This window comes from Homo sapiens, chromosome 17, assembly GCF_000001405.40.
Source record: "Homo sapiens chromosome 17, GRCh38.p14 Primary Assembly".
NCBI lineage: Eukaryota > Metazoa > Chordata > Mammalia > Primates > Hominidae > Homo > Homo sapiens.
Genome location: NC_000017.11, coordinates 2,214,865 through 2,232,649, shown reverse-complemented (window position 1 = coordinate 2,232,649; position 17,785 = coordinate 2,214,865). Strand labels below are relative to the sequence as shown.

Here is a 17,785-nt window from a genome sequence, read left to right as displayed (position 1 = left end):
AATTCTAGAATCCTCATACTGCACACTCAGGTAGTTGGGGATAGATAAATTTGAGGGGTGGGACAAGGGACGTTTGAGGGCCTTGGCATAGGGCCTGGTATGTATTAGGCATTCAGTAAGCATTTGCTGAGTGCATGGGTGAAGAAGGCAACAGTTCTGGGAAAGCCAGCTCTCACCGAGCAGTGTTTCTTACGTGGACCAGGTCCAAAGCTGGTGGTGAGATAGGTGGTTCCCAGAGTGATGTCATAACTGATAATCTCTCTAAGGCATTCCTGAGCCTGAAGCGAGGAAGGGCTTTCTCCACGTGCCTCCGTATTTAACACTTCGGTAGTCATCTCATTGGTTGACGTGGTGCCGGAGGGTGACCTATTGATCTAAACCACAAGTACTCCAAGAATTTTAATTTTTAAAAATTTTGTAATTTAAGGAAATAAAACTCTAGTTTCTTGAAGGGAAGAATTGAAGCAGCATTGTGGTAGGGGAGCACTGAAACCCCATTGCATCCCCCATCTGTGCCCAATTTGTTCCAATCTGGCCCTTTTTTTTTTCTTCCTTCATTTTCTCTCCCCCTCTTGTTCTCTCTTTTTCAAAAATGTTTTATAATTCCTGGAATCAAAACCACTTCAGGCACACACTGTTTTATTTTACTGTATTATTGGATTATACCGCCTATAAATCACTGGATGTTACTCATTGGCCACCACTGGAATAACTTCCCTTTTCTGTGCCCTGGCTCCCTCTGTTTTCCTCTACCAGTTTCATAGCACATACATCCATTTAGCTTTGCAGAGAAGCCCCGGTGGCAGCAAGAGGGCACCCAAGAGACACTTCTTGCACGTGCTATTGGTATTGCCTGCTTTTAGGGAATATTTGGGAGCTGGGATTAAGGTAGAGCCTGACTGGCATTCCTTTCATTATCATTTATGCTTGCTTTTTTTGGGTGGGGGGAGGGAGGGACAGAATCTTGCTCTGTCGCCCAGGCTGGAGTGCAGTGGTGCGATCTCGGCTCACTGCAACCTCTGCCTCCCGGGTTCAAGCAGTTCTCCTGCCTCAGCCTCCTGAGTAGCTGGGGTCACAGGCGCCCACCACCACGCCTGGCTAAGTTTTGTATTTTTAGTAGAGACGGGGGTTTCACCATGTTGGCCAGGCTGGTCTCGAACTCCTGACTTCGTGATCCGTCCGCCTCGGCCTCCCAAATTACTGGGATTACAGGCATGAGCCACTGCACCCAGCCTTATGCTTGCTTTGAATGGTGTTAGTAATCCTGAATTACAGAAGGTAGAGGGAGTGTCACATGTGGGTCTCCAGAGGGAGAGAGAGCTAGCTAGCTAGCTACAGCTGTCTGTATAGGACTGATAGCTTTAACTTGTAGGTGTGGGATGTTTCATGCCATTGTTGTGATGGGAGGTGACTCTAGTTGAGTTTGGTTCGCAACCGAAGTGTCCTTGTCTTCCAGCATACAACAATCTCAGAGACGTTCAGAAAAGCAGTATGCTCCTCTGTGGTGATTCACTTCTGTCGTGAGTCTCTTACCCAAGCAGAATGTATGAAGTGCCTAATCCTCCGCTTGTCAGAACAGTTGTACAGGAAATCCACCTTTCATAAGGGGTTAGGCTTGAGTTAGCTGTGTAAACTGGCCCCCTCATTCCTCCTCCTACATCTCTGGTGGTAGAAACCCTTGGGCTTTTTCTCTACAAGGATCTCTGTGGGTAGATTTCCGTAGGGAATCATTGCCACCTGACTTTCATTTTCAGGATGCCTCAGTTTAGAGAAAATGAACAGAGCCAGCCTGAGCAAGGAATTTTGTGAGAAGTAGATTCAAAGTAGAAGTAGATTCAAAGGTCAGAATAGGTTAGGCTTTGGAAGGCAGGCCAGAGAAGGATGCATGCTTCAGCTCTGCCCTCTTTCCCTGTGGGGGAGATAGAACTCTTGACAGGCCGCTTAGTGCAGACTGCTCTCGGCACTCTCTGCCTGTGGATCTGCCTGTAGTTCCCTGAAGAGAAGTGAGTATGTCAAGGGACCCACCTGTCTTTCCACTTCTGGGTTCCAGGGTCCTTGTTTTCAGAATGTATTTAGGCTGGGGAAGGAGAAATAGGAAAAGCCAAAGAAATGAGAAAATTGTCATCTCAGTAAAATTAAGCCTTTTATCATATCAGTTGAAGAAATGGTCTTTGTTTTGCCCCAAGATAGCCATGTGGTTTGGTGTCCATGGCTGCTTTGGTGTGGAGTGAGAGATGCAATATCCCATGTTGCCCAGATTTCGTTTCTTTTGCCGTTTTATAGCTTGTCAATTTGATTGTTTGTGGTTTTCCCTTTTTTTTTTTTTTTTTTTTTTTTTTTTTTTGCCCCGACATGGACTTATTCTGAAGGAGAAACATTATTTGGAGGAATTTTGGCAGCAGGACACTTTTCTTTTCCTTTCTTTTCCTTTTTTTTTTTTTTTTTTTTTTTTTTTTTTTTTTTGGAGACGGAGTCTTGCTCTGTGGCCCAGGCTGGAGTGCAGTGGCACGATCTCAGCTCACTGCAACCTCTGCCTCCTGGGTTCAAGCGATTCCCATGCCTCAGCCTCCCGAGTAGCTGGGATTACAGGCACAGGCCACCACACCCGGCTAATTTTTATATTTTTAGTAGAGACAGGGTTTCACCACATTGGCCAGGCTGGTCTCAAACTCCTGACCTCAAGTGATCCGCCCACCTCAGCCTCCCAAAGTGCTGGGATTACAGGCATGAGCCACTGCGCTTGGCCTGGCAGCAGGACTTTCAGCTACCTTTTCAGAGCTCTAAGTTTTGTAAATGTATAGCTTGGGTGTGGGTGTGGGGCTCAGGCCAGATTCATACTGTATGCTGAATTCACAGAGAAAGTAGGTATGTTCTAGGGGGCTGGTGAGGGGTGGGAAGTGTTGAACTTTGGACCCTAACCAAGTAAATGCCTATATGAGGAAGAATTGTAGTTTTCAGAGGGCGTGACCAGTAATGACAACCACAGCAATGACTCCATGCTCTAATACATGATGACACTTTATAGTTACTGCATATGTGTTTTCCTTTGATTCTCTTGTCAGCCCTGTGAGACAGGCTGGACAGATATTTTGTGTCCTGTTTCATAGATGAGGAAAATCATATCAGAAAGGTTAAGCAGGGCTGCACAGCTAGTAAATTATACACAGGTGTCAAGTGTCCATCCTTTGATATCAGAAAAAAGAAAAAGCTTCTCTGGGCAGCTAGACAGTGCAAGGAATGTCCCCCCAAATCTGAGCACTGTTGTTCTCTGATGAAGAAAGTGACCTGTGAATCTGATCTGAGATAGGAAGAGGAACAGGAGTAAAGGTAAGAGAGTTGGGGTAAGTCAGAATTCTCTGAGTGGCGTGACACTCAGGTGGGGCTACAACAAATAAGCTAGCAGAAGGTTGTTGTTTGGGCAACTCAGGGCTGTCTGGAGTTCATGTTCATTATTGTCATGGGTAGAGGAAACCTCCCTCTCACATGGAAAGCGCAGTCCATGACTAGTTGGTAGAAGTGTTTACTCTTTCTCTTGGCTTAGGATACATAGTGTCTCTTAAAAAGGGGGTGGGCGGATTTTTTTAAGGAGCATTGTTTCATATTTTCACCATCATGTCTAATATCCCTCTTCTTTTAGAAAAGAGGCCTCTCACATGCTTTTCTTAGGAGAGACTGTGCTACTTTTTGTGGCCTGGGGGGAAGGTAGATATGTCATTGATACAGAAAGGAGTGTGAGAGTATAAAACATCTGAAAGAAGGATAAAGTAAACACACATGTAACTACCACCCAGGTTAAGAAATAGAATATTGTCAGTCCCTCAGATGTTCCTATGTACTTCCTCTCTGTATAGCTGTAGTTACCTCACCAACAGGTAACTATCATCCTGACCTGCGAATTCATTTCCTTGCTTTTCTTTGTAGTGTTATCACCTAGTATGTATATATGTATGTGTGTGTATATGTATATATATGTAAAATATAATTTGGGGCCAGGCACGGTGGCTTGCGCCTGTAATCCCAGCACTTTGGGAGGCCGAGGCGGGCAGATCACTTGAGGCCAGGAGTTCAAGACCAGCCTGGTCAACGTGGGGAAACCTTGCCTCCATTAAAAATGCAAAAATTAGGCCGGGCGCGATGGCTCACGCCTGTAGTCCCAGCACTTTGGGAGGCTGAGGCGGGTGGATCATGAGGTCAGGAGTTCTAGACCAGCCTGGCCAAGATGGTGAAACCCCATCTCTACTAAAAATACAAAAATTAGCCCTGCACGGTGGCAGGCGCCTGTAATCCCAGCTACTGAGGAGGCTGAGGCAGGAGAATCGCTTGAACCTGGGGAGTGGAGGTTGCAGTGAGCCAAGATTGTGCCACTGTACTCCAGCCTGGGCAACAAACAGAGTGAGGCTCCGTCTCAAAAAAAAAAAGTTAGCTGGGCGCAGTGGCATATGCCTGTAATCCCAGCTACTCAAGAGGCTGAGGCACAAGAATTGCTTGAACCCAGGAGGTGGAGGTTATAGTGAGCCAAGATCACACCACTGCACTCCAGCCTGGGTGACAGAGCGAGAGTTTGTCTCAAAAAAAGTCAAAATAAAACAAAACACATAATTTTGCTTTGCTTGCATAGAGATGGTATCGTGCTAATCATACTATTTATATTCTTTTCTCCCTGGTTTATTTTATTCCATATGTTTGCGAGTTCTGTCCATGTTCATATGTGTAGCTGTAGTTGATTTATTTTCATTGCAGTAATCTTACATTTTAGTCACATTAGTTTATCCATTTTTCCATTGATGGGCATTTCGGTTGTTTTCTCTTTGGGACTATTATAAGCATTGAGTCTATTGATGGTTACTGCAGTTATTGGTACCTTGAGAGTTATATGCATCATCCTATATTTTAAAATGAATTTTGTTGAAGTAAAGTTTACATACAATAAAACACACCCATTTTAAGCATGCACTTCAGTCAGTTTGACAAATTTACATGCCCAAGTTACTAACCATCACAATCAAGATAGAGAGCGTTTCCATCATCCCCAGAAGTTCTCTTTGTGCCCATCCCAGTTGATCTCCATCCCACCCCTTGCCCTAGGCGACTGCTTATCTGCTTTCTGTCACCGTATGTTAGATTTGTCTTTTCTAGAGTTTCATGTAAATGGAATCCTAAGAGTGTGCACTCTTTGTGTCTGACTAATGTCTGACTTCTTTAGCTCAGCATAGTAATTTTTAGATTTATTCATGTTGTTACATGTATCAGTATTTCATTTCCTTGCATTACTGAGGAGTCTGGATATTGTGTAGTTTTGTTTATCCAGTTACCTGTTGATAAACATTTGGGTTGTTTCTAGTTTTTCACTAGTATGAATAAAGCTGCCATGAACATTTATATGCAAGTATTTTGTGGACGTGTTTTCATTTCTCTTACGTAAGTACCTAGGAATGGACTTGCCGGATCATATGGCATGTGTATCTTTAACTCTGTAAGAAACTGCTAAACTGTTTTCTGTGGTGGTTGGACCATTTTATATTCCCTCCAGCAGTGAGAATTCCACTTTCTTTATATCCTTGTCAGCATTTGGTATTGTCATTTCTTTTTATTTTAGCTATTCTAGTAAATGTGTGGTGCTATTTCATTTTGGTTTGTGTTTCTCTAATAACTAAGGATGAGAGACTTTTCATGTGTTTATTTGCCACTTGTATATCTTCTTTGGTAAGTGTTTACATCTCTTGCCCACTTGCTTTTTTTCCTTTTTGAGGTGGAGTCTCACTCTGCCGTCACAGGGCTGGAGTGCATTGGCGTGATCTCGGCTCACTGCACTGCACCCTCCGCCTCCTGGATTTAAACAATTCTCGTGCCTCAGCCTCCCGAGAGTAGCTGGGACTATAGGTACTCACCACCACGCCTGGCTAATTTTTGTATTTTTAGTAGATACGGGGTTTCACCATGTTGGCAAGGCTGGTCTCAAACTCCTGACCTCAGGTGATCCACCCGCCTTGGCCTCCCAAAGTGCTGGGATTACAGGTGTGAGCCCAGCCCCACTTGTTTGTTTTTTTTTTGTTTGTTTGTTTGTTTGTTTTAAGACAGAGTCTCGTACTGTCGCCTGGGCTGGAGTGCAATGGCGTGATCTTGGCTCACTGCAACCTCCACCTCCCGGGTTCATGCAATTCTCCTGCCTCAGTCTCCCAAGTAGCTGGGATTACAGGCACACACCACCACACCCGGCTAATTTTTTGTATATTTAGTAAGACGGGGTTTCACTGTGTTGGCCAGACTGGTCTCAAACTTCTGACCTCGTGATCCACCCACTTTGGCCTCCCAGAGTCCTGGGATTACAGGAGCCACTACGCCCGGCTCTTTTTTTTCTTTTTTCTTTTTTTTTTGAGACGGAGTTTCACTCTTGTTTCCTAGGCTGGAGTGCAATGGCATGATCTTGGCTCACTGCAACCTCTGTCTCTCTAGTTCAAGCAATTCTTCTGCCTCAGCCTCCCTAGTAGCTGGGATTACAGGCATGCGCCACCACACCCAGCTAATTTTGTATTTTTAGTAGAAACAGGGTTTCTCCATGTTGGTCAGGCTGGTCTTGAACTCCCGACCTCAGGCGATCCGCCTGCCTCAGCCTCCCAAAGTGCCCACTTGTTTTTTTATCAAGTTGTTTGTCTTTATTATTACGTCTTAAGAGTTCTCTCTATAACCTGGACATAAGCCCTTATCCGATTTATATTTTGCAGAAATTTTCTCCGGGTGCTTTCTCATTCTCCTGTCTCTTCTGTTTCTCTTTTTCTTCTGTCTTCTTTTGGATGGATTATTGTTTCCATTCCACCGTTGTCGTCGTGCCCCTACTCCTTACCCCCAGCACTAGTCTTCTTTTCTTTTAGGGTTACCCTAGGAATTAAAGCATGCATACTTCACCTTGCCAAAATCAAAAGTTAATCAGATTTCCATTCTCCTCTTAAACAATATAAGAACCACAGAAAAACTTAAAATTTTATTTATTAAATTTATTTTCCCAATTTGCATGCCATCGTTGTCATGTATATTCTTTTTTCCTTTTAAACCCTATAAAACAAGTTATCGTTATTTTTGGTTTGATTTATTTGGTTTTTTAATTATTATTTTGACAGTAAATATTTGTTCAAACGCACCTATATTTTTTGAGGCAGAGGCTCACTCTGTCACCCAGGCTGGAGTGCAGTGGTGCAGTGTTGGCTCATTGCAACCTCTGCCTCACAGGTTCAAGCAGTTTTTGTACCTCAGCCTCCTGAGTAGCTGGGATTACAAGGGCATGACCACACCCAGCTTTTTCTTTTTTTTTTTTTCTTTTTTTCTTTTTTTTGTATTTTTAGTAAAGATGGAGTTCACCTTGTTGGCCAGGTTGGTCTCGAACTCCTGACCTCAAGTGATCTCCCCACCTCAGCCTCCCAAAGTGCTGGGATTACAGGTGTGAGCCACTGCGCCTGGCCTTAACTCACCTGTATATTTACTGTTAAATTCACTTTTGCATTTCAGACCCTCTATCTGGGATCATTTTCTTTCTGCCTGAAGTATACTATTTATATTTAGAATGTATTTAGTGAAGTTCTTTTGAAGGCAAATATTCTTCATTTTTTTATTTGTCTGAAAATGCTTTATTTTACCCTTATTCCAGTAATAGAATTCTAGCCTAACAGTTACTTTTGCTCAGCCCATTGAAGATAGGTTACTACATCTTTGGGCTTTCACTGTTGTTGATTAAAGTCAGCTATCTGTTTTGTTTCTCTTTTGAAAGCAGCCTGTCTTTTCTCTCTAGGTGCTTTCCAGGTCTTTTTAAAATCTTTGATGTTCCACAGTTTTGGTGATTGGTCTAGGTTTGGATTTTTAAAAATTATTCCTGCGAAGTATTTGTCGGGCTTCATGTAACCTATGAGGTTGGTTGGTTGGTTGGTTGGTTGGTTGGTTGGTTTTCCTATCAGTTTTGGAAAACTCTTAGTGTCTTTTTTCAAAGACTGCATCTCCCCATGCTTTCTCTTCTCCTTCTGTGACCCTGATAAGACATACATCAGGCTTAGTTTTTGATGTCTCTTAAACCTTTCTTTGATTTTTCTGACTCCCTTCTTTTTGTGCTACATTCCAGATAATTTCCTTAACTATCTTTCAGTTCATTGAACCTTTCCATAGCTATATCTAACCTTCTATTAAATATGCCCCATTGACAATGTTTTTAATTTTAATAAATTTTTTATTTCCATATATTTTTTAAATCAAATCTGCTTTGACTTTCTTTATGGTTTCTTATTTCCCAAATATACTTGTGAGCTTGTCTTTTATTTCTCTAAAATATATTCAACATGGCATTTTAGAGACTCCATAATCTGAAATGGTGTATTTGGGGTGTAGCCTTGTGGGACCCTAGCTTTATGATAAGGATCTTGGCTGTGTCCATGCAGCCTTGGAAAGCAAAGCTCGAGTTCATCAGGTAGCAAATGTTCTTAGGGTAAAGGCTGTTTGTAATGCCACACTTACCTATCTGGTTTCCCATCTTTATTCAATCTCTGACCAAAGGATTTTCTTTTATTTTACTAGCTCACGAATGCTTTTCAAAAAGATGTTTAACATACTCTTTTTTTCAGAATAATGAGCTGTTTGATTGGGAGAATGGATCTAGGTGTCTAGTCTGCCGTACTACCAGAGGAAGCTGGGATTTCCTTGTTCCATCAGACTTACTCAGACTTTCTTTCTTTTCTTTTCTTTTTTTTTGCTCTGCCTGTGATGCCCATGAGCAGTGTGACTGGGCACCTACATCCAGGGTGGCAAGGGCATGTAGTTTGCTCTTCCAAAGATTAGTTTCTTTTCCAGCTCCTGCCCATTTACAGCTCAGTCTTATGGCAAATGGTGTCATTGGGCTCACATTTTTTCATTTTTCCAAGAGGTGTCCAGTGTATAGAATATCACTTAGAGGGCTAATTGGGTGGGGAAGAAAGATCAAAGGAGTGGAGAGGAAAGGCTGCAGCTGAAGTGATAGGAGCCATTTATTGACAAAAAGATGTGAGTTAGAGATTTGGAAAAGAGTACTCTGTTGTTTCAGCTACATCACATTATATATCTGGTGAACCTTGCTGGCCCATGAAATCCTTTCCATTAGTCAGGGTTCTCTGTGCTTTTGTTCTTGACTACTGCTGTTCTTAGTGCTATTCGGTTTGCTTGTATGTCTCAGTTTCCTTTTCAGAAGGCAGATTGTCGTCTATTTAGGAATGCATTTACTGTAATTGGAGTGTTCTGGCTTGTTTAGTCCCCTCTTCAAATATAAGACTCATATCTTGAAGCTTATGTTCAGAAAATATGCGCGTGTGATCCCTTTGCCCCAAGTGCCAACAGCAGATGTAGCAGTTGACACGCTGCAGGGAATTTCCAACTGCTGGGCAGGTTTCTGAAATCCGGACACGTGCTGTTCACACTTTGGCTTCTGAGGCAAGGATCAGTGGTTGAAAGAGGGGAGGAGCTGGCAGGGGACTGCAGGGAGAAAGATCTTATAATGCCTGCCCAGGGCTTTAGGCTGTGTCAGCTTTCTGCATCTCTTCTCCAGCTGGAGCTGGCAGGGTCGAATAAATCACTGCAGAGTAGTTATGAGCCCAGCTCACCAGGGACTTCTTTGAGGCACACCTGTGACGTCATCCTGTTATCACTGTCTGTTCCACATAACCTCTTTTCACCTCTCCCCTGAGAGAGGGTGATGCCCAGAACTCATGTCAGGGCAATGAGCAGAGGAAAATGTTTCGTAAGTATTATTTTTCAGATGCCTGCTAGGGATACAGTTGTAGGCCATTGACACATTCTTCAATATTCCTCATTGGAAGAGAAAACCTGTGTTTGCAAACATGGCCTGAATACCCCTTGTGGATAAAACTTCTTTTTAAACTTGGAAAGAAAGTCTTGAAACTCCTAAGTGGTCTCTTTTTGTACCCCTTACCTCTCTCGTTCCTTCCCAAACATGCACACACAGACACATTACATACAGAGTCTGCTGTGTTCAAAATCCTTCACTGACTTCCCATTTCACTCAGTGTAAAAGCCACATTATTTACAAGGCCTTCATATATGGACCTCTTCTCCTGCCCCCCCCCCCCCCCCCCGCCCCCGCATTGCCTCTCTCTGAGCTCATTCACGACTGTTCTCCCCATGGCTTGGTTACTCTGCTTCAGCCACACTACCCTTCTTGCAAGTTCTCTGCTAAGCTGGGGACTCTCCCACCTTTGGCCCTTCGCATTAGCTGTTTTCTCTGTTTGGAATGTTCTGCATCCAGCCATCTGTCTGGTGAATACCTCGCCTCCTATAAGTCTTTGCTTAATGTTACTTCTGTGAGACCTGCCCCAACCATCCTATTTAACACTGCTGCATTCTACTCCAAACCTGCACTCTTTATCTTCCAATTCTATTGATTTATTTTCTAAATACTAGATAATTAATGTGTATATGTTTATTATTTATTTTCCTCTACTATTCTGCAAGAATGTAAGCTCCCTGCTTATAGGGGTCTCTGGTCTGTTTTATCCACTGATACATTGTGAACATCTAAAACAGTCCCTGACCTGTTGTAACTTCTCAGTAAACATGCGTTATATCAAGTTCAAGTCAAAGAATAATTTGAGGCCAGGTGCCGTGGCCGACGTCTGTAATCCCAGCTCTTTGGGAGGCCAGTGCAGGTGGATCACTTGAGCTCAGGAATTCAAGACCAGCCTGGCCAACATGGCGAAACCCTGTCTTTACTAAAAAATACAAAAATTAGCCAGGCATGGTAGTAATCCCAGCTACTTGGGAGGCTGAGGCAGGAGACTGGCGTTAACCCGGGAGGTGGAGCTTGCAGTGAGCCGAGATCACCCCATTGCACTCCAGCCTGGGCAACATTGCAAGACTCCGTCTCAAAAAAAAGAATAATCTGTCAGCAGGTCAGCCTGGACAATGAAGATTGAATGGCAAGGGCAGGGGCATCTGTTAACTAGGTTACTGCTCATAATCTTACTGTCTTTCCTTGTTTTTTGTTAAGGTGACTTTCTTGAAAGCATAATTTCCAAATGCATATTTTACATCTGGCATTAAAGTAAAATCCATTAAATGTGCTTTGGTATCTACTGTTGTATTAATCCTTTCTCATACTGCCATAAAGACATACCTGAGGCTGGGTAATTTATAAAGAAAAGAAGTTTAATTGGCTCATAGTTCCACAGGCTGTACAGGAAACATGGCTAGGGAGGCCTCAGGAGAATCACAATCATGGTGGAAGGCAAAGAGGAAGGAGGCACGTCTTCCATGGCTGGAGCAGGAGGAAGAGAGTGAAGGGGGAGGGGCTACAGACTTTAAAACAACCAGATGTCCCGAGAGCTCCATCAGGAGATAGCACCAGGAGGATGGTGCTAAACCATCAGAAACCACCCCAGGATGCAGTCACCTCCTACCAGGCCCCACCTCCAGCACTGGAAATTACAATTCATCATGAGATTTGAGTGGAGACACAATCCAAACCATATCAGCTCTTAACCCTGGAGTAAATATCATTGGGGCTCTGGAAAGTAAATTTCTATAGAACAGCGTAAGTTCAGTCCTTTCTGGTCTCTTGAATCTTTCATCTTTTACTCTCTGTCCTTTCTTCCTGACTAGAAATACTTTTTTATTTCCCTACTCATATATCATATTTTTACATTCACCTAACTGGAGCAATTCTGTCCTATTTATGAAAACTAAATGATTTTTTTTAAAGGATTTAACATTTTGGGTTTCATTGAAAGTACTAAAAAAGGTAAAGTAGAAACCAACTTCTGGCAGTGACATTCTTTCCTATACGATGTATAAATATTCAAGGAGTTTTTACACAGTTGAAAAGATACTGACTATACAATGTTTGATTCTACTATTTTTACTTACAAGTATACAAAGCTATAAAATTCTTTGTAAACATTTGTAATTTACATACAAATAATAGTAATGGCAAAAAGTGCAATTACTTTTGTACCAACCTAGTATAAACTGAATCATGTTCTCATATGAATGTTTTTATTGTTATGTATATTCACTGTGTTGCCCAGGCTGGAGTACAGTGGCATGATCATAGCTCACTGCAGCCTCGAACTCTTGGGCTCAAGTGATCCTCCTGTCTCAGCCTCCCAAGTAGCTGGGACTACAAGCGCATGCCACTACGCTCAGCTAATTTTTTATTTTTTGTGGAGACAGGGTCTCACTGTGTTGCCCAAGCTAGTCTCAAACTCCTGGGTCCAAGTGATCCTCCTTCCTCGGCCTCCCAAAGTCTTGGGATTACAGGCATGAGCCGCTGAGCTTGGCTTCACATGAATATGTTAACTTTCATTTAATCATTACCCTCTTTTTGAACATTTTCTTCTCAGGTTTCTAGTATTATAAATAAAGCTGTAATTAACATCTCTGTACATAAAATTTTTGTCTGCGTTTCATGTTGTTTTATTAGAATAGGCCAAGCGTGGTGGCTCATGCCTGTAATCATGCAGGCAGATCACTTGAGCCCAGGAGTTTGAGACCAGCCTGGGTAACATGGCAAAACCCCATCTCTACAAAAAAATACAAAAATTAGCTGGATGTGGTGGTACATGTCTGTAGTCCCAGCTACTTGGGAAAATTATACGGGAGAATGGCTTAAGCCCAGGGGTTGGAGGTTGCAGTGAGACGAGATCATGCCATTGCATTCCAGCCTAGGAAACACAGCCAGACCCTGTCTCAAATAAATAAATAAATACTATATTTTTAGAAGTTTGGTTGTTGGGTGAAGGGGTTTTGGCATCTTAATACTTTTGATACATGATGCTAGATTATTTTTTCTTTTTTCTTTTTCTTTTCTTTTTTTTTTTTTTTTTTGATAAAGGGTCTTGTTCTGTGTCACCTAGGCTGGAGTGCAGTGGTGTGGTCATAGTTCATTGCATTCACTGCAGCCTCAAGCTTCTTCTTAGGCTCAAGCAGTCCTCCCATCTCAGCCTCCCAGGTAGATGGGACTACAGGCACGTGCTACCACGCCCATCTGATTTTCAAATATTTTGCAGAGATGAAGCCTCACTATATTGCCCAGGCTGGCCTCAAACTCCTGGGCTCAAGCAGTCCTCTCACCTTGGCCTCTCAAAATGCGCTGGGATTACAGGCATGAGCCACTGCACCCGACCTAGGTTACTTTTTGAAGAAGGTGTATCAGCTTACACTCTTAGCAGTGTTTGAGAATGTCCAGCAACCACCTTCCTGTAGACATTAAGCATTTTATTTATCTTATTTTGTTTTTTATTTTTGAGGCAGAGTCTCGCTCTGCCGCCCAGGCTGGAGTGTGTTGGCGCGATCTCGGCTCACTGCAACCTCCACCTCCCAGGTTCAAGCTATTCTCCTGCCTCAGCCTCCGATGTAGCTGGGACTACAGGTGCCCGCCACCACGCGTGGCTAATTTTTGGATTTTTAGCAGAGATGGGGCTTTGTCTTGTTGGCCAGGCTGGTCTCAAACTCCTGACCTCAGGGGATCCACCCACCTCCGCCTCCCAAAGTGCGGGGATTACAGGCATGAGCCACCGTGCCTGGCTGCATTAAGCATTTTAAATTTTTTACAGTCTTTGGCACAATGTAGGCCTTCATGTATTTGTTGAATAAATGGCAGAATAAAACCTGTCCTTTTAAAAAATAGACTTTACATTTTAAAGCAGTTTTGTGTTCACATCAAGATTGAACAGAATATACATAAAATTCCCATGTACCTCTTGTCTCCCACAACATAAAAACTTCTCCGCTATCAATATCCCACACCAGAGTGGGACATTTGTTACAGTCAGTGAACCTGTATTGACACATCATCACCCAAAGTTCGTAGTTTACATTAGGGTTCACTCTCGGTGTTGTGCATTCTGTGGGTAACTAGCTTATTTTTATACATCACTCTGAGTGAGTAAGTTTGGAGTCATCATGGACTACATTGTCAGGGTTAAATCTTTCACCTCACCTCAGGTGATGACATGCCAGCACCTCAGGTGATGAGTAGCTCAAGCTTGGAAGGTTGGCATGGGTATGTAGGTGAGTAGTCTTGTTGGTTTGCCATTACAGGGAGGAAAGAATGTGGTTTCCTTATTTGGTTATCTTTTTTTTTGAGACGGAGTCTCGGTCTGTCGCTCAGGCTGGAGTGCAGTGGTGCGATCTAGGCTCACTGCAAGCTCTGCCCCTGGGTCCACGCCATTCTCCTGTCTCAGCCTTCGAGTAGCTGGGCTACAGGCGCCCGCCACCGTGTCCGGCTAATTTTTTGTATTTTTAGTAGAGACGGGATTTCACCGTGTTAGCCAGGATGGTCTCGATCTCCTGGCCTCGTGATCTGCCCACCTCAGCCTCCCAAAGTGCTGGGATTACAGGTGTGAGCCACCGCGCCTGGCCTATTTGGTTATCTTATTTTTTTACTAACGAATGAATTGTCTGCACCATAACAGAATGTTATGGGAGAAGCACATCATTCTTTTGGAGTAAAAGCTCTTGGATTAAACCTTCTATTGAGCTGAACAGCAAGAGAGTAGGCTGTCTGTGGGGGCTCAGGGTGCCATACTCAGCCAGACATTTAAACATTTAAATACAGGTGTTACCCATCTCTGATGGTCCTTTTCATTGTTTTTTTTTTTGTTTTTGTTTTTGTTTTTTGAGACCGAGTCTCGCTGTGTCGCCCAAGCTGGAGTGTGGTGGCACAATCTCAGCTCACTGCAACCTCTGCATCCCGGGTTCAAGCGATTCTCCTGTCTCGCCCTCCCGAGTAGCTGGGACTACAGGTGTGCGCCACCACACCCGGCTGATTTTTTTTATTTTTAGTAGAGACGGGGTTTCACCATGTTGGCCAGGATCGTCTCGATCTCCTGACCTTGTTATCTGCCCGCCTCGGCCTCCCAAAGTGCCAGGATTGCAGGCGTGAGCCACCGTGCCCGGCGGTCCTTTTCATTGTTTATTCTTTGGCTCTGGAAGTACTGTGGAAGGTGGCTGAGGGGAGCCAGTGCACTTGGCTGTCTTGGGCTCTAGGTGATGTGCAGGAGGATGGTAGAGGGTAATGAGATATTTTTAAATTTCTTTGCTTTAAAGAGTTCAGAGAGAAGTGTAAAGATGGAATAGAAAAATCCTGCCCAGTTTAGAGTTGGACCATGACTCTTCTGTTTTCTGGTGGTTGGGAGTGGTCAGCTGCCAAAAATGTGATCTCTGCTTTTCCTGAAGACCGTGTGGCTTCATGGTTATGAACTTTGCAATTGATCACATTTTGGTAAAATAATATATATTATACATATATTAATTTTAATAGACTGATGGATATCCATCAAAACTTACCCATGATTCTCTAAGATGGTAGAATTAAACATGTTTTAAATTTTCTTTTTTCTCTGTATTTTTGTAGTTTTCTGAAATTATCACAATACTTTAGTAATAATGTATTGTGTAAATGTATTTTTAAAAATTATAATGATAAAAAGAAATATTTGAAATTAGATAAAACTAGGTTCTAATTCTGATTGTTTACTTGCTGTGTTATGCAAATTACTTAACCATTTCCAAACCTGTTTCTACGTCCAGTACCTTGTGGATGGAATACATTTAATAAATGTTTGTTGAATTAAACTTTCCTGCCATAATGTGTTCGCCACTGATTGCCAGTGTTTCTCCCCTTCCCATAAAGGAAGATTCTGTTTCTTATTTTGAACTTGAATTTCAAAAGAAGCAACTTAGGTTTTGAGGGTATACCAGTTGTCTTGTTTTTTTTTGACATTTTGACATTACTGATTCTTCTAACTCTTCCTGCATTCCAGAAGAACTAACAACCTCATAGATCAATTAGGGAATATTTAGCTCATCTTGAAAATGGAATTATTTTAGCTTCATAAAATGCATAAATCCCTCAACTAGAGTATGTCTCCATGGGGACAAGAGACTATATAATATTTTAGCAAATTCCTAACAATGTTCAAGGCTAACTCCAAAATTAGATGCTTATTCTCACAAAAAAGGGCCAGAAATTTTGAAAAAGTTAGGTGCCTAATCAGTGATTGATTGATTGATTTTCTAAGGTCTGAAAATGTATAAAGAGTTTAGGCAAATAAGAAATTAACAGATTGTTGATTTAAAAAAATTATGTCTTATAGGTAAGTATTTGTGCCTTGCAAAATGTTAATACCTTAGAATTATATTTTTAAAAAATTCTGTAAGACTTCCATGATGATGAAGTCATCAGAATCCCTTTGAGATGGTAATGTTACAGTAGACTGCTTTGAGAAATCACGGTTTAAATCTTCAGCCTACTTTTTCCCCCCCTTTTCTTAGCCCCAAACTGTGGGGACCTCTCTCTCTCCCTCTGAAGACAGTAGAAAGCCAAATCTGTAAAAAAAATTCCTATTACCTCACTAATGCTCTTGACCCCATTCCTTGGATACCTTGGTTGGTCCCTTCCAAGGGAGATTGGGGTAGCTGCTTTACCATCGTGGTACCTGCCATCTGAGTTTCCACCTTGCCCGAGATCCCTGAAGGCCAAAAATTTCTGCCTACTGGGAAGAGGCAGAAATACCTCTATGTGTGCGCTGTTTCTTTAAAAGAAAGTGTAGCGGAAGTGATGCTGCGGGGAACATCTGCACTCAGGGCTGAGGGAGAGCGCGAGATGCACTGCAGCTGGTGTAAGGCCCTGGCAGGCTGAGGCGCTGCTGTCTATAGGGGTTTACTTCTGTCTGCATTGAAACATGGCTTGGGAAGGGGTTGGTGGCCTGCTGCCAGCCTCGGTTAGCCTGCCCTTCTCTTTCCTCTTTCCTCCTCGCCGCCCCCCACCCACCCTCACTCCCCTCCCTCATGCTTTAAAGTCGCATTTCCAGGCCAGACGTAGAATTAATCTCTGGGCACTTCACATTGCTGGCAGCTGAAAGCAGGATGTGGGATCTTTTTTTCTCTCTCTTTCTCTCTCTGCGTCTTGGCTGACTTTTTTACCTCTCGAAGAATTTGGAAGGCCGTGAGATCCCCCCCCACACACACAAGTACTGTGGAGTTTTTCAGCACGCTGATCACCCTGCTGCGGCTTCACCCTAATAGACTTCATATGTTGATGCAGTTGACATCAGTATCAAACTATTTTACATGTGATCTGGTGTATTTCCTGAGGAAATCTGCAAGATATTTATTAAGAACTAATAAAATAAACCTCTCCATGAGTTTTTAGGTAGTTTTCAATTTTTCATGTCTGTCTCGTTTCCTCTTATCAATGAGTTGCTATTTTCTCTCTCTACTCTGACCATCGCAAAAGGAAACAAAAATAAATGTTTTAAACTGTTCCTGAAGGGACAGAGAGAGAATAGTTCTGCCATGATGTATCAGCCGGGACTGTATTTTTAGTGCAGCATTGTAGAAACTAAAAATATCCTGTTATAGTAGATCCTTTTTATAGGTCTGTGTGTGTGTGTGCGCGCGCGTGTGTGTGTGTTTATAATGTACGCACAAGTGCCTTTGTGCATCAGCAGCCACTCTTCACATTACAGCTGGACTCCATTAGTCCTTGAAAATTAATGTAATCCTAGTTAAGAAAAAAATTAATTACTGTACCAGAGCTGTGTTTTATCCAAAGCTAGTGTTAGCTCCCTAGCTGGCAGCTTAGTTTGAGAGGCTCCAGGGCCCCGTGGAGTTGTGGCTTTGGTATCGCAGCATTGGCTGCTGTGTTTTTCCTGTCGAGAGCATTCCTCAGTTCTTTAGGGCTAGACATGTGGCATGCAGAAAGTAACCACAGACCCCTCTGCCTCAGTGAAATATTATGTTCCAGTCTGGTCATCCCCCA

General features: G+C 42.9%; 1 protein-coding gene across 12 annotated transcripts in view, besides 4 other annotated features; it reads left to right on the top strand.

Annotated features, from left to right (window-relative positions):
* SMG6 (SMG6 nonsense mediated mRNA decay factor) overlaps positions 1-17,785 on the top strand; it is a 243,947-nt gene that overhangs the window by 71,136 nt on the left and 155,026 nt on the right. The gene's annotated exons all lie outside the window — the stretch shown is intronic.
* Positions 12,869-13,805: an enhancer, noted in NCBI's record as "H3K4me1 hESC enhancer chr17:2122139-2123075 (GRCh37/hg19 assembly coordinates)". NCBI's record gives its function as "activates a minimal SCP1, AML or CMV promoter by ChIP-STARR-seq in naive H9 embryonic stem cells {active_cell/tissue: H9 hESC(naive)}" and the evidence as "EXISTENCE:reporter gene assay evidence [ECO:0000049][PMID:30033119]".
* Positions 16,278-16,487: an enhancer, noted in NCBI's record as "active region_11479". NCBI's record gives its function as "activates an Ori minimal core promoter by ATAC-STARR-seq in GM12878 lymphoblastoid cells {active_cell/tissue: GM12878}" and the evidence as "EXISTENCE:reporter gene assay evidence [ECO:0000049][PMID:35858748]".
* Positions 16,798-16,847: a silencer, noted in NCBI's record as "silent region_7987". NCBI's record gives its function as "represses an Ori minimal core promoter by ATAC-STARR-seq in GM12878 lymphoblastoid cells {active_cell/tissue: GM12878}" and the evidence as "EXISTENCE:reporter gene assay evidence [ECO:0000049][PMID:35858748]".
* Positions 16,850-17,698: an enhancer, noted in NCBI's record as "heart enhancer 8". NCBI's record gives its function as "activates a minimal c-fos promoter by transgenic reporter assays in zebrafish embryonic heart {active_cell/tissue: heart(embryonic)}" and the evidence as "EXISTENCE:transgenic organism evidence [ECO:0001131][PMID:20075146]".